This window comes from Homo sapiens, chromosome 14, assembly GCF_000001405.40.
Source record: "Homo sapiens chromosome 14, GRCh38.p14 Primary Assembly".
In the NCBI taxonomy this organism is placed as follows: domain Eukaryota; kingdom Metazoa; phylum Chordata; class Mammalia; order Primates; family Hominidae; genus Homo; species Homo sapiens.
In genome coordinates this window covers 33,640,420-33,657,583 of record NC_000014.9, presented here as the reverse complement: position 1 = coordinate 33,657,583, position 17,164 = coordinate 33,640,420, and the positions used below count along the sequence as shown (strand labels likewise).

Below are 17,164 nucleotides of genomic sequence, written 5' to 3'. Positions count from 1 at the left end.
GGAAAACTTTCTCTAATCAATTTTCATCTGTCCTTTTTCCTTCAGTATCAAAAATGTCATAGTTGGAGAGGAAATGGAAATGACTTCTTCCAGGAACTTAAGAAACTACACTTTCTACTTAGTTAACTGTATACTCATATTAAAGTCTTTTCTAGAATTCAGGCTTCTTTATGTCTGGGATGATATCCTATTCATCATTATAGTTCCCAAGACACCTAGCACTGTGCTCAATAAATGCTTGTTGGTTTGATTAAACTGATGACCTTAGAAGGCTTTTCTGTATGTGGCCTCTCTCCTCTCTGGGACCCTGTGTTGTTATCATTTGTATGTCAGACTAAAGACCTGAGATTCAGAACTTTAGGGGCTTGTTACAGTCTCACAGCTGCATCAGATGCACAATCAAGGCTATAAATCAGTCTGTTTCTATGAATTTGACTTTTGTAGCTTTCACATAGAAGTATTTGTCTTTCTGTGTCTGCTGTTATTTCACTTAGCGCGATGTCCTCCATGTTCATTGGCATTACAAATGGCAGGATCTACCTTTTTAAGGGCAAATAATATTCCTCTGTGTGTGTGTTTCATTATCCATTCATCTACTGATGAACCCTTAGGTTGATTCCGTATCTTGGCTACTGTGAATAAGGCTGCAATGAACACGAAAGGGCAGATATCTCTTTGACATACTAATTTCATTTTCTTTGGATAATGGGTGAGGAAGTGAAGGAAATGGGAGATTTTGGTTAGGGTGTACAAAGTTTTAGATACACAGAATAAGTTCTAGAGATCTAATGTACAGCATGGAGACTACAGTTAATAATACTGTATTGTATATTTAAAATTTGCAAAGAGTAGATCTTAAGTGCTCTCACCACCAAAGAAAGGTAACTGTGAAAAGAGATGTAAACTCTAGCTGGACTAGAGTAACCTCAGTTCACTAAGTTCATTATGAATATGTATATCAAAACATCATGCTATACACCTCAAATACACACAATTTCAATTAAAAAATTTTAAAAAGAAGAAATCAGTCTGTGTCACATTCCAGTGATCTTTGTTTCAGACATTGCTTTGGTTGAAGGAAGGGTGCATTTTGACCTTGGAGTTGAAAAGGCCAGAGTTGGAATCTCAGCTCTCCTACTTTCTAACTGTAAGCCTCCATCTTCTCATCTGTAAAATGAGACTTTTACAACTTACTCTTGGGTTGTTGAGAGAATTAAATAAGATGAATAATGTGACTGGCATATGTTAGGCAGCTAATAACTGGCAGCTGTAATAATAAGAACAACAACAATCATTACCCACGTGGACTCCTTGCCCTGAATTACAATTGATAAGAGAAACCAATACATGCCACACAGTTAGCACAGTACTTAATTGTGCCAATCATTAAGAAAGTCCCCAAACTACTAGTCTTCTGTTTGCAGTGTACCTCAAACACAATGCTTTTCAAGTAGGTCTAGTTGTGGAAAGTCTGACTGAACAGAAATTCGATACTAAACTTATTTTTTGCTTCAGTAGCACAGCAGTAGGAATAGAGACAAGAGAGGCATCTGGTAATGCGGTGGGGCACAACCACCAAGTGAGAAAACTGGTGGCCTCAGAATGTCCCTATTTAGACTATGGCCTCAAGAGTTATTCCCATAATTTATTTCTGCTCAGAGTGAAGGAAAAGAGGATGTTTGTTTGCAAATAGATAGAAAACTTGATGCAAACGGTATGACTTTTACCCAACTTTGTGGTTTTTTGAGACTATGGGATGAAATATTGAGATTTACTACCTTGAAGAGATATGAGGGGGTACAAGTTCTTGCAGTCTTGTACTCTTCAAAAAGGCCACTACAGGAGAAACGAAACAAAACAAAAAACCCAAAACAACAACAAGGCGAAAGCAAACAACAATGAAGAAAACTAAATGGAAAAGGATTCTTTGGGCTTCCTGAGTCATCCACTTCCTTTTTCCAAGCTGAGTTAATATCCCTAGTGCTACGTGCATTTGTAAAATTTCCGGTAATGTAAACACTGTTCTCTCTCACCCATTCTCTTACAGTCATATATTTTGTTTTTCATATATTCAGGCAAGAATAGTAGAAAAGTGCTGTTAAGTTTTTATATGAATTGCCTTCTGCCAGTTAGCTGGATGTACATTGCCCTGTTGTGTTAAAAGATTTCACAAAGCCACATGCATGCTTGGATTTATCTGGGAAAAGCAAAAGAGTTCACTTGCTGTTAAAAAAAAAAAAAAAAAAAAAAAAGAGCCAAAGGTATATAGAGAAAAAGTTGGGCTAGTTTTTATTTAATACTTTTGTCAGCTTGAGCTGGTCACAGGGTGTATTTGGGAAAATGCAGACACATGCCTGAGGGCTATGCAGGTAGTTAGGAGAACTGGGTTCTAGTCTCAGCTTTGAGATTACCTCCCTGTGTTGATTAGGTGGGTATTATTCCCTCCAGGTTCATGTATAAAAGGAAGGGGCTGAACTGAAAAGATCTATCTACTCTGCTTCTTTGAACTTTATCTTCCTCATCCGTACAGTGGAGGCAGTTACATCCACCTTGCAGGGTGTTCTGAAGATTGAATGAGATCGTGTGTGTAAATCACCTATAGCAGTGTCCAGCAGGGTATATGTATTCAGAAAGTTCTAGCCTTCCTCCTTTCTCCCATTTTAAGTTTCCTCCAATTTAGAACACTTTGTAATCAGGAACACGTGGTGATCTTCATGAGCAGTGTCATCAAATAAAACTATGATTGCAATAGATACACCTGGCATCCACTCCCTGTGAGTGACTTGACTCGGGATTTTTTGAAGTGAGGGTCAAACTGCAGCTCACCTTTCCAGTGTTGAAAGAAGCCCCATAGAAATCACTTGGGATATAAATATTTATGCACCAACAGTTGGCTAGTCAGCAGCATGGTGTGGTCTATACATGCTTTGAAGGCAGATGGTTTATAATTTTTAAACTTAACAATAAAGACAAAGGTAATGTCTAAAGAGGTTAAATGCCCTTTTATTATTTGGAATGCGTCTTTACTTAGAGCTGCAGAGCCTAAATTTTTGGGAATTTTTCTTTAAAAAAATCTAATCGTCACTTTTTTTCACCACTGGAAAAGGTTAGGACATAAAATATCTACCTGGTGGTCCCAGCAGGTGAACCGAAACTTGTCTAAAATGGAAAGACTTTGTTAACACTGGCAAATCAGAACCAGTGCAGCAGAATTAATACAATTTCAATTCTTCTTTGTGTCTGCAATGGCTTCCTATTATCCTGATAAGTGGGCAGCCATTTCACTTCTTTTATTGATATAGCTGTGAAAAAGAATTAGATTTCAACACTTATGTAACTGAGATTAATTGATTGATTAGATTATTAATTAAATATTCCATTAAATTTTCTTTTGAAAAAAAAAAATGGCACAGGATTGTGGATTCCCTAAGGTTTTGTTCCTAACCCATGGAAGAATAAACAAGGAAATGCATAACTAAACATTGTATCTTATCTTTTGAAAGATAATTAAGCAAGCAGATGCATTACTATGTAGAAAATTTACTCACTGCTGGCTGTCTTATAAGACTGCCTTTATCCAGCATCTCTACATCCCAGTTCAAGGTGGGGAGACTTTCTCTTTTGTGAACAAACCACAGAAATCAGTGAGTTACGAGGAAAATCATTTGGGGACCACACCTTTAGGCACATCTATTTCTACACAATAACGGGCCTGTTTTAGTTAGGAATAAAATGGTTTACCTAAAACTTCCAATCATGCAGTGTTTCAGGGATCTGTAGAAAAATAAAAACAGCAAGTGGCCTTTCAGGTAACCCATAATTAAAAGCAATTTTGAGCTGTCTTTTCAGGGAACCTACCCAAGGGAAGTATTTGCTACCTGTTTGACCTTCACGATTGTGAGTCCTTGGCAGTGTCAACGACCCTCTGAACTGAATTCAAAACTAATCTCTGACAGAAAGAGAGAAACAGAATTCATGCAAATCATATTAATTCCAACATTTCCCCAGTGAGCTGGGTATAAACTACAGCCTAATTAAATATTTTTTAACGATGTGAGTAATTTTTGCCAAGGGGCGGATTCAGGGGAAAATTTAATATGAGATCACAAAAGCTGTTCCCAGCGTTGATTCTGTAAATTAATGACTATCTGCCTTATGATAAAAACATGCTGCCAAGAATGAAAATGAAGTCGGCAAAGCTTGCTCTATTTGTCTAACAACCAAATATACAGAATGCAGAACTTTAAAGGCAATGGGAAATTTCCATTGTGTTTCTGTGATATACACAGGATAAAGACGCACCATGCTGACAACCCAAGAGTCAGCTTTAAGGCATTGTCAGCAATACGGGGCCATTTTTAGGTAGCTGTTGGCAAGGTCCAGGGACCTACTTTAAAGCAGCTAGTTAGTTAAAAAATTATATGCAACTTGCTTCCCAAAGAGATTCAAGGTGGCTCACGATAAGAGACATGTACACACAAGTAACAGTGTTAAAGGCAAAATGGAAGGTCAAAAATATGCCAAGGGCAAGTGCTCCATTATTTGGTACAAATGTTGCCAGCATTACAGCTCCATGGATTCCTTCCTCGGACTGACCATTAAAACAGCTTTTCACACCCATCTTGATCCTCAGGGCAGTTCACTTTGGAAACCTAAATTGGATTGCTGTCCAAGGTCACGGGGGTGAGAAATGGGGGTGAATACAGCAAGCAAGGGGATGATGTCAACATAGCCCTGGACAGCTTATTGCATCTAAATCTATAAATGGCAGTGGACAAAAGGTGGCCTGGTAGATAAGACTTTTCTGGTCTGCTTAAGTCCAATTTGAGAATGGAGCTTCCCCTCGTGTTCGGACTCCAGTTTTAGGAAGCAGTTTGACAAAAAAGCAACTCAGCATATGTTACAGAGAACCAAGGCATGGCGCCTGAATCAGAGCCAAGGAAAAGTCCCTCATCTCGTTTTGCTTCGTGAGGGCAACCTACTTTTAACGACTCCTGTAGTTAACACCCAGAAGTTGCCGGCGGTCCCCTGTGACATATGACTTGGGCTCTGCGAGCCCCTGGTCACTAGGCCAGCCCATCACAAGGGTTTTAGGAGCTATATTTATTTAAATTTCTGTCGGTGCCCAGAGATGGAGATTGAATTTACAGTCTTTCAATTAGAAGGTCATCTGTGCTAACTAGTGCACCACTGCCTCATTATAATCATAAAATTAGTGAGAAAAGACTGGCATGAGTAATATGGAAACGCTGGTTTCAAAGGTGAAAAGGTGCTGTTTCCTCAGGTTATAGCAGAGGAGAATGCAACAGCAAGCTCTTAATCAGTAAATATTCCCATTTAGAGCAAAGAGAAGTCCTTGACACCCATTACAACAAAATATAAGGATGCCAAGATAATTTTATGAGAATACATACAAATATTCACAGTGACTCACAGTTTTCATATTTACTTACACATAAATTTTCCTTGCAAATTTAATACAAGTAAAAGTAGCATGAATGTCTCCAAAGCACAGCTTTTGATTTTTAACCGTATTTGTCAAAAATCTCAGCTGATGATTAATAAACAAATCAAAATGAAATAAAAGGCAGGGCTGGGATGTGGAACACCTCATGACTGGTTGTATGGGTAGCAGGCTGCCATGCTAAGCCTTATCATTTTTAAACTTTAACATGTTGTTAATGTTATTAATGGAAACGCTGGGTGCTACTTAATATTTTTGCCCACTAGAAATGTTATTTCTAGGAAAAGAAAAATAAGCCACCAAAAGTGGCCTACTCCAAAATTAAAAGGGAAGGAAACAAACCAAACTAACATGTATTGAGCATTTACGTCTATCAGGTACTTTTATATCAGTTTTTTTCCTCTTCATAATGACCTTATAGAAAGGGGGTATTATTATCCTTAATGTACAAATAGAGGAAACAGAGGTATAGAGAAAAGGTACAAGTCTCCTGACTTTCACCAAGGAATTAGTGACAGAGCTGGACTACAGACCCAGCTCTGACCTCAAAGCTATATACTTGTGGGTTTTTTTAATATATAATTTGTATTCTAATTATCTTATATCAGTTGAGATGGTGCTTATTTAAAATGCATTTCAATTTCCCTAACCTAAAAGAGAGTCTTCAGGGACTTCCTTAATATAAAGCTAAACAACTTAAGGAACTGGATCCAGGGAGAAAAGAATGATTTAACTTTGAAAACTCAGTAAGTACTTATTACCCACCTAGCCTATGAACAGTGATGTCCTATGTATGATCGGGGTACCAGGAAGAAGACAGATCTGTGCTAACTGAAAAGTGGACATACAACCAACTAACTGATGCAGAGTGGCACGTCCCCGTACAAAGGCAGAGTGCAGCACTTTGGCGGGAGAAAGGAAGATGGCACTGCATGGCGCGAAAAAGGCTTCACAGCCTAAGTTGTAGGAGGTGTGATGATTTCTGCACGGGCCTTGTGAACAAAGTCTCAAAGAGGCAGAGAGATGGTTGTTGACCTGTCTTTCTTAGAAGAAGAGGGGATGACCGCAGTCTTTGTCTGGCTCCTTTCTTCCCTTTGTGTTTGATCTGGCTTTTTCCTTTTCTCTTGCCAAGCCTCCCTTCCTTCCTCCCTTGCTTTCCCTCTTCTTGTTCCATGTGGCTGGAATCCTCAGACCTACAATGGGCATCAGAACTGCTTCAAGTCTGTCGGTTCTGGCCTGGGTCCTGCTCCTGCTCCTGCAACAAGGACCCAAGTCCTTTGAGGGGCTCACCACGAGAGATAGGCTGCTGCTCCTGGCAGAGGCATGGGCCTGGCACCAAGGAGTCAGCACAGAATGAGAGAGAGAGAGAGAGAGAGAGGAAAAGATTTTCTCCATCTTAGAGCCCCCAGAAGAGACATGTCATCTACAGTGGCAGCAGGAGCTGTGTGAGGGGATGTCTTTTATTCTGCAGCCTAAGTGCAGGGTCCTTGCAGAGGGCTGTGCTCAGAGGAGGGGAAGATCAGAGGTGAAGGGATGAATAATGTGCACGTGGAACAGTGACAGATCACTTGCAACAAATGTATGATGACCCTCCAAAGCTCGGAGCTCACTAGAGCTTCCCTCTAATTAAGGATAATCCAGAATTATCATGCTTAATTATTTTCATAGGTTTCTTTGAGGGTTTTTTTTTCTTCAATTGGGGTGAGGGATGTCTCTAGCTACAAAGGGCAAAGGCTGATTTACATCTGGGAAATAAACTTAAGAAATCTTTTCTCTTGCCCCACTATCCCTGCAGCATCTCAAACATCCTGTCTGTCTGTGCAGCAATAATTCTATGTCAATCTGCCTTGTTTCCTGCTTGCGTTAAGGTAGCATATTCCTTACCTACAAGCAACCTCTGTTCTCTTCTAATAAGTTGCTGCTGTTACAATGCGCAAGATTTTCTTTGCTTTCCTTATAGAGTTTTCTCGAAGTGAGGTCTGAGTATTGCCTGTGTCTGTACAAAATGCAGAATCAGTCGACCTTCTTAAAAACACATCCTCCTGGTCCCATTTAAGGCACTAAATCAGACTGTCCTGGGACGGGGCCAGGGAATCTGTATTCTAAACAGGAATCCCAGGATATTCCTCTCCTGTTAAAGTCTGAAAGCTATTGGTTGGGTGGCTTGACCTTTGCCAGAAAATATATTCTTTAAAGACCTCTTCCCTGGCCCTTCCTGCCTTCCACACTACAACCACTCTGGTCAAACTTGGTTTCTCTCTCTGCAGCCAACCCACTGTGATGACTTCATTATTTCTGTTGTCATCCCCAGTGCTGTATTCATCATTTCCTTTATTATATGCAGTCTGTTTCTTAGAGTTTTCTGATTTAGCTTGTCTTCTTCATACCCTATTCCCCTTCCCTGCCTATTCTCCTTTTTGGCCTTTCTTCCTTCTTATTGCTTACCAAATTAGTAAAATTCAGCTCACTTCTTCCACCTCATGAAGCCTTCCTTATGTAGGAACTAAAAAAGTTAAGTTTCAAAGTATGCATCCGACACAATAACCAACTTACAATGGAGTATATAAAACAATCTATGATAAAATATTAATAGCCGAGTTCTACAATAAAAGTAAGTGTCCATTTTGTGACATGAGATGGGAATAGCATCTTTTATACATTTGTTACAGTACCGTACTGTTGGCATCCCAGACATACTAAGTCAGATTTTGAAGGGCTTTCAGCCCTGTGCAACCCTCGATGGTGTAACTATGCTGGTTTCCAGCGTCATGTCTCTTGAGCCAGTTTTGTCAACGGGCAGGGTGAAACCGTCTTTTTGAGGTGAAGACATCTGGCCAGCTGCTGTAAGTGCCTTATTTCAGTTAAACAGCCCCATGTGAGTATTTGAGAACAGGTGTTAACTGTCCACTTCATTTAGGACAGGAGGTGCATGGACAGAGAGACAATCAAGTTTTGTATACTGGGATTGTCATTTGAATGAATACATAACCTATAGGGCATTGTGGGTTCCTTTAAAGAATGGAAACAAAGGCCAGTTTTGGTTAGAATGAACTCAAATTTGAGTTATTGCCTGTATAGGGTGCTTCCCTCTACCTCCCAATGGTAAGTTCTTGGGAAACGGGTACTTTCACAGGATGAGTTCCTCAACAGAGGAAAACTGCAAGGCAAGGACCCTCACAATTCGCTGCTGTTCATCTAGAATTCTGGGGGGCAGCACAAGGCCACACTGTGCTCCTCAGCACCAATGGGACATTGACAAACTAGAGTAAATTTAGAATAGAGACAATGGCAAGTGAGATTCTGGAGGGCTTCACTGGTGATGATGGACTATGAGGCTAAATGACAGTGGTTTAGCCAAACGACCACTAAAAAGGAGAGCAGGCTGTCTTCCCATACCCAGGGGAGAGATGTGAGGACATCACTGCCCTCTGAGCCTGGCTTCACACACGCACTGGGATGTGTTCAACTCTATGCCAGTCCAGAGGATAGAAATACTTTTTGTGCTGTCCCTGTAAGCCAAACTATGGCAGTTCATTAGCAAGCAGAAAATGTATGTTTATATTGACTTGGAATTCTATAAATTGGGCCTTCAAAGATTATTTTTAGACACTTTTTCTTAGATTTCCATAAAGCCTTCCTTTCTAGGAGTTTAATGTTAAACAAGTTTTCTGTGAAAAATGTTTTAAAACATTAAATAGGTTAGGGATGTAAATGGTACATGCCCAAGTTATTTTCAAAAAGTGACACAATTGGAAGACTATACTTTTGTGTATATGCAGGACTATTATTTGGACCTAAGTTTTCAATGGACCTAAAGTCAGCTTGTAGCAATTTGAAATGGAATGATTTACATTCACAACACAAAGCTGGTCACACCCATGATAGCAGCTTCTGTTCCTGTAGTGGGCAGACAGCCCCTTATAGATAAATTCATCTCAGTAACTTTGCTTCCTGGTGGGTTCAGCAAAAGGGTCCCACAGGCTGCTAGTCTCGATCTGTTCCCTTCTCTGCTTTACAGAGTTCTAAGCCTTTCTTGTAACCTGGGGGCAAAATCAAACGGAGAGGGGTGAGAGAGAAGAAAGGGTAGCAGGGGAGGTTAAATAGGTTATCACCAAGGAAGGGTGTTCAGTGACTATAAATTAACAAATCCATCTTTGTTATGAAGATGGGCAATTATTTTTCGAGGTAATTTCAAGAGTTAGTAAGATGTTCTATACAATGGGCCTGCCATTTGAGTGACTATGTATCTATAGGTTTACATGTTTATCTGAGTATATGAGCTCTAGAATTAAAAATATTATCAATGGAAGGAAAAAGCAGCTGAAACCAACTATATACGGGAACATGCAAGATGTGACCTGGGATGGAATGGTGGGAGATTTTGTGATTCAGGACTGAGTCACCCCTGAATGCTTCAAATCTGGCTACTACTTAAGCCACAACTGGGAGGCATCCTTGACATTGTGAAATAACAAAGTGATGCCGAGTCAGAGGGTAAAAATTTCAGTGTAAATAGCAGTTGTTTCATGCATTTAAAATCAAATTGGTTCAAGGTGAAACAATTGGTGTTAATGAGATGATAGTTCAGGAAAGAATAAAGACCTGCCATTTCTAAATACAACAGAATGACTAACAACTAGATCATAACCGCTTTTGTTTGCTATGGGGACAATACAGTAAGAAACAGAAGGCAGCATAAGTATATCAAAGAGTGATCAAGTGATCCTAATACACTTCGAAGATGCTGGTCAAAAATATTACTAAAGAAGCCTTCTTTTCATGATGATACAGGTGTTTCTTCATCATGTGGCTATATATATATATATATAGAGAGAGAGAGAGAGAGAGAGTAAGAAGATGTAATAAACTGAGTAAGTGTATGAAATTGCTTACTGTGCTATGCCATTTGGTGCATTCTGGAAGGATTTATGCTCTGAGGATACTTAGACTATCTAGTTCATTAAGCAAGTTAGTGTGTGGTCATTCATATCACACAGTTGAGCCTAAGGACATAAACATTGCTTCCATGAGAAAATAATATACCTGACTTTCACATCATTTTGATCAACAGCACTTTTGTTTCAAAAGTATTGAAACCCATTACTTCAAGGACAGCTGATACTACAAGACAGCTCCTACTGTGAAACACTATCTCCTTGTTGCTACCACAATGTAGGCACATGAACAATAATCTTTGCTGCCTGAGTCATTGCTGCTGATTACTCTATACCTCTGGGGGAGTTTCTGGATCCACAGAGGTAAAAAAAAAATGTTATAAATAAGGACCCACTCAAATCTCTTCGTGAGTGCTGAAGAATTGCTAACGTGTGAGCAAATGGTTAAGTGGCAATGAGTACTGCCCTGCTAGCTCACAGGCACCAAAGACCACAAACAAAGGCATTTTCAAAGTTGTTCCAGGAGACATCTGGTAAGAAGGGAACACAGTTTTGATGGACTATTCAACTTGGACAATTTGAAAACAAAAAGAGCTAGAGCACTGCTGTGGTAAGATACCTATGTTTTATCCAGGCCCAAGCCATGAAGGACTATGAGATCACATGAGTGCATGAATCTTATTTCTATAATTTCATCGTTACTCATATATGTTATGAATTATATAGATACTAGGAGGCAGAACTATGACTACATTATTTTGATCAATTGATTGACCAGTCATCTACGCAGACATCCATTTACTAGATAAAATAATGGCAAATATACACACATTCTAAGGCTGGAGAGAAAATGGGTCTTAAATAAATTTAAGAAAATGTAAGAAAAGGTTAAGCTAAGTGTAATGGATTATTCTTATAGATGGCATTTCCCCTACTCCTTTGTACATATGATATCATGTTCCATATATGATGAGTAAAACAATGAACATAGCCTAGGTATTTTTGTCACATCCCTTCCCTCCTTCCTTTTTAATAAATGGAAAATCAGGATGGCCTTCCAGTCCCAATTTTGCCTGGCTAAATTCTGCCTGTCCTTCAGGCCTCAGCAGACCCCTCGTTTTCTCAGAGAACCCCAAGACTAGATTAACTTTTCCTGTTAGATGCTCTAACAGCACTTGCACCTTTCATCCACGGCACTAAGCACATATATAATTATCTTTTGACCTAGCTCCCCTTGCAAAGACATACATTTCAAGAGGCATTAACTTCTCTTTCTTCATTACTGCTGTGCTTCCAGCTCCCATGGTGTGACGGCCCTCAATGAAGGTCTGTTGAAGGAACATGTGAGACGCATGCACTCATGTAGTGCTTCATGGCTTGGGCCTAGATGAAACCACAGAGGTGCTCTAGCTCTTCTCATTTTTGAATTGTCAAAATTGACACTCAAATGTGTGATTATCATTAGGCACACAGGATGACAAGACCATGGCAGCAAGCTCAGAAGCACTGTGACAGAGAGAGTCCTTGAATTACTCGGTCAAGTGGCAGCTCCATTTTGCCAGGCTGGAAGGCAACCCACCAGAGGCAGCTCCTCTCTGCTGTAAAGCCTTAGGAACACATGCTCTTGGAGGGTACAGGGCTTCAGTGAATCGTTTTCCTAGAGCTGCTTTTATGCAGATACTTAATCTGTCTATTTAGAGATAATTTAGCTATTGCTTTAAATAATCCAATGCAAACCAGAGACAGTAACTCTATCATTCTTATTATGCTCTAAAATGCTATTAGACCATATTTCATTGATTACAGATTTTCCTTTATTTTGATGAATTAGGTATTACTACACAGAGCCTGTGGACTTTAATGTACTCAAGGAAAATCTGTTGTGCTTGTTAATATGCAATTCTGGAATCCCACCCCCAGAGGATATCATTTAGTAGTCAAGAGTGGAACCAGGAACCTGCAGCTTCACAGAGTTTTTGGTGATTTTGAGGAACTAAGTATCAGGTACCCTGAACAACTGCCCTTAGAAATCCACCCTTTCCATTTCAGGCACTTACCAACTCTCGACATTTCTCAGTTCTTAGTCATTGTGGTTTTGTCCTATTCGCTCATCTTTTTTCTTTCTTTCTTTTTTTTTTTTTTTGAGATGGAGTTTCACTCTTGTTGCCCAGGCTGGAGTGTGGTGGTGCAATCTCAGCTCATTGCAACCTCCACCTTCCGGTTTCAAGCGATTCTCCTGCCTCAGCCTCCCAAGTAGCTGGGATTACAGGTGCCCGCCACCACACCTGGATAAATTTTGTATTTTTAGTAAAGACGAGGTTTCACCATGTTGGTGAGGCTGGTCTCAAACCCCTGACCTTGTGATCCGCCCGCCTCTGCCTCTCAAAGTGCTGGGATTACAGGCATGAGCCACCACATCCGGCCTCATCTTTATTCTTGATTAGCATTTTCTTTTTTTAAAGAAAACATGGAACTAAATCTGGTTACTTAAATCCATGATGCAAAAACGGCAGTATCTAACAGAACCCTAGGCTGGGATGGAGAAGCCCCGGGTTCCGCTTGTATCTGTGTACCTAGCTCTGTGACCTCTGGCAAGATACCTAATGCTCATTCCTCAGTGTCCTCATGTATGAAATAAAGATGACACTACCTCTCCTAAACCTACCTCAAAGTGATGCTGTGAAGAAAATGAAAACAGATATGTGACTTATGCTGAGGATAAGGGAAGGACACTAGGAAAATCCCAAGGCATGGTTCTGACTTGTGTCATCATACCCAATGGCTGGCCAAATGAGAAAGGCAATGTGCTGTGTTGCTCACTACACAGGCATAACTCTAACGCTTCAAGTTTGGGTTCAAAATGTGTGTAGTGCCCCTGCCAAAAATATAAATATATAAATAAAGGTATTTCATGCCATTTACTTTTGCATGCCATACTTCTGAACATATGTTTCATGGCTCGTTTGCCAAAAGTTATGAGATTTTAGTCAATATTCAAGGAGTATGTTCACATTTTCAATGGCAAAAGGCACATTTTGATCAGTGTGTTAATAAATTATGCAAATATTATGAACTCATGTATAATTTTTAATAGAATTGGTACAAGAAAGTCTTCAATGCCACTAAAGAAGAGCGAGTGACACAAGAAAGCCACACAAGAAAGCCACTACTTTTTCTTTCACCTTTTAGTCTTGTGATAAATTTGCATGAAGCAGAAAATACATCATAAAGATCAAGTATCTCGAGTGGAAATTAAATAAAGCTTTGTCAGACTTGACAGAACCAATCATATACAAGAGAAATGACAAGACAAGCAGTCTTTAGGTTAAAAAAAAAATCTTCTCCCCAATTTGCATGTTTTCAAAAATTTACATACATTATTTAAAAACAATGGACTTGAGCTTGAAAAATTCTACAGACAGCAGAGAGAAAACTTTAACAATTAACTTGGAAGGACAAAAAGGGTAGAATTTCTCCCAGCATACACTCTCCTGCCTGATTTTTATCGAGCTCACAAAGCCCCTTTAGATCATCTTAATCCACTGTGGCAAAGTAGCTGAATATGTGATTCAGATTGTCTCAGAAAATTCTGTGCTACCAATCAGCTTTCTGACACTGCTCTTCTCTTCAACCTTCAGAACCAGTGACAGCAAAGACCAAAAAGCCAACTCACAAAGGAGCTCTCAAATGGCAAACTCCGAGAGCTTACTGCTTAACCCACAGAACAAAGATGCTTTTTGACACATCCGAATAACTTCTAATCCTAATATTTTAGCAGTGCTGCTAACTTTACACAGTCTCTTGCCCTCTTGCTCCATCTCTCTCGTTTTTTTTTTTTTTTTTTTTTTTAATTTTTATTTCTTTCTTTTTCCGAACACATCAGAACTGGGGTGTTGGTGTTTTACAGCAAAGGGTGTCTGCCTAACAATTACTTTCCCTAGACATGCATAAATATTTAAGTTGACAACTATTCCTGATTTACAGTGCAACTTTATAGCAGATAATACTATCACTGGTTATGAATAACATCATGGTATGCTGCTACAAACTGACAAGACTAATGTGACCACTAAATCAAAACCTCAAATTACAAAGAAAATAGTTCCTAGTCACGAGGGCTGCATTGAAAAGTGAGAGCTGAGATCAGAGCATTAACAAGGCTGATTGATCTATATATGATGAGATGATTACTTATATGAAGATTATTGCGAGAGGAGATGACAAGGCTTATAGATAAAAGCCATTTCTCTGATCCATGGACACTTTTTTGGTTTAAGAGCCTCTTGTAAAGTTACTCAAGATACCTCTGCATCACAGTAAATTTGGCAGCCACAATATTGGCAAACAAAGAAGAGATCAGTGAGACAGCCATCTGTGAATTCATTTTCTCCATCCATCCCGGCCATTTGGAGAGAAGACCAAAACCACCGGAAGAGAGGTTCAGCCAGGCTTCTCTGACACCACAAACAATATGCTCTGTTGTGACCTTGTAAAGTTTTCCTGCTAATTAAAAAAATAGGTGCACACTGGTATCCCCACTGGCAAGCAGGCACAATGCAGTTTTTCTTTAAAAAGACAGAGCAAGTCTAAAATTGCATTTATTTTCCCCCAGCAGCATTAAATAGGACCCTACACTGTTCCTGCAGAAATCTAAGTGTCTAGATTGAGATTTTTCAATCTTGTACCCAGACTTAAAAGAAATGATCTATAAACAATCACAAATTGCAAAAGTAACGATTAGTGCCATAAGAAAGATTAAACATTCCTGGGCCATTGTTCTCTCTCCCTTCTGATCCCCAGCCCACATTCCTCTCTGTCTTCTTATTGAAATCAGTTATCTATTGCCGCTTGCTGAATCTGAATAGCGGCTCGCTGCTAGAACATGCCTGGCTTAAAACAATCAATAAACTCTCATTTTCTTTTAACAGTTTAATATTAATCTGGGGGATGGTGGGGAATGGTAAATGTGCCATTACAGCGGCTCTGACCTCCTCTCTAAAGCTAGAGCTCTAAGCAAAAGGATGATGTGAAAAGAAAATGAAGACAGGACACAGCAGGAGATCCGAGATGATCTGTTAATGAAACTTCAGCGCTGCCCTCTGTTTTGATGAGTTCCCATGGTGATCAAATAGAATTATAAATAGGCTTTTGTAGTTGTGGTCAATTTTCTATCTATCGACATGATAAAACAAGACATGACACAATCATACACCATAAATCTCTCACTCTTCCCTGCTGTTGGGAATCGATGAATTATTGAACACAAACTCTAAAAAACAAATGAGAAATTTACTTGGGGTAAAAAACTTTCTGCAAGACAATATGGTCAGCAAACTCTCACCATACCTGCATTTTCTTTTCCTCCACCAATTCAATTTGAAAAATAAAGACACGATGCCGCTGTACCATTAGCACAAAGAATTATAACAGAAATATAGGCATCAAACCTTGGCACAATAGTAATATATTTTTCATGAAAGGAAGTGTCAGGAGACCATAGACAGAAATAAACACCGAGAAAATTAGGAGCATCACTATGCTGGGTTTACATTACCAGAAGCTTAAACAAATGTGGAGTAGGAGGTTAGATGCTCTCCATCAGGAGAGAGGTATCAGAACCAGGGTTAAAAATGAGTTAGACATAGACTCTCCTTGTGAAGTTAATAACCTCAGACACAGTCAAAAGAATCACCCCCTAGCCCCTAGTGGTACACACAATTATAGTTGTGGGACCAGTGGTGTTACATGACAAACTTAAGAGTTAAATTTTGAAGTTTGTTAGGTAGGCTAATCTACAAAAGCCCTTTAGCTGGTATGAGGAGATTAATTCATATTTAAACATTTGCAGCTTGATTAAATTAGGGACTGTGTTATTTTTTTCATATTCAACTAGAAGTAAAGCAATGAAAACATGCACATTACAGCAAAGAAATCTGCATTCTTAGAAATCATGAGCCTTCTTGACTACTACAGAGAGGGCTAAGAAAGATCTGTTAAGGCTGAAATCTTCCATGCTCCGTGGAAAGAAGTTAGATAAACAAGTCAAAACGGAAGAAAAAGTGAGTGAAAACATTTTGCAAGAAAAGCTATCAAACTCACAATTATGAGATGGTCATTTAAAAATTTTCCTTTTCATTAGAGAAATACATGTTTGTTTTAGGAAATGTACAAACTACAATAAAGTATACAGAAGATACTAAAAAATCACCCGTTATCCTATCACACAGAGAGAACTGCCAGTAACACTTGGGTACCTTTCCTTGCAGGAATTTTCTCTGCACATACATATTTATTAACAAAATTTGGATCATGCAGTACCTATAATCTGATATGTGTGTCAAAATATATTTAAGGAAAAATGTAAACAAATACTATTTTACATCTACATCTATATACTTCTATCATGCTTTGTAAATGTGTTTCATGTTTGAGTATTTGTACAACGAGATTTTCAACTCCCAGACAGCAGGAGCACTGGTTTCCAGATTATTTCCCTGTCAATATACTTGTTCTCCCCCATTTCCCCAAAGTTTCTGGGAGTATTTGTTGGTACTTGGTAGACCGCTGCAATTGCTCATTGGACAAATGAATGAATGTTAGTCTGCCCTTGATTAGAAGTTTAAATTTTCATGATCAATTTATATATAGATATCATGGTTGAAATCAAATGGAGTTTAAATATTTTTATAAGTTTTTTTTCTTCTGGAAACTAAGAATTGTGAATTTTAATTATTGAAAAAGATGTGCATTTTAAACTTTTTTTTGAGATACTCTTCAAACTATAGCCATAGATGAATAAAAGAGT

At 39.0% G+C, this 17,164-nt stretch overlaps 1 protein-coding gene across 19 annotated transcripts in view, besides 1 other annotated feature; it reads right to left on the bottom strand.

The window, feature by feature from the left end:
• Window positions 1-17,164, bottom strand: part of NPAS3 (neuronal PAS domain protein 3) — an 869,389-nt gene that overhangs the window by 146,590 nt on the left and 705,635 nt on the right. The window lies entirely within an intron of this gene.
• Window positions 15,087-15,381: a silencer, noted in NCBI's record as "tiled region #868; HepG2 Repressive non-DNase unmatched - State 21:Repr". NCBI's record gives its function as "represses a minimal TATA promoter and a strong SV40 promoter by Sharpr-MPRA in HepG2 cells {active_cell/tissue: HepG2}" and the evidence as "EXISTENCE:reporter gene assay evidence [ECO:0000049][PMID:27701403]".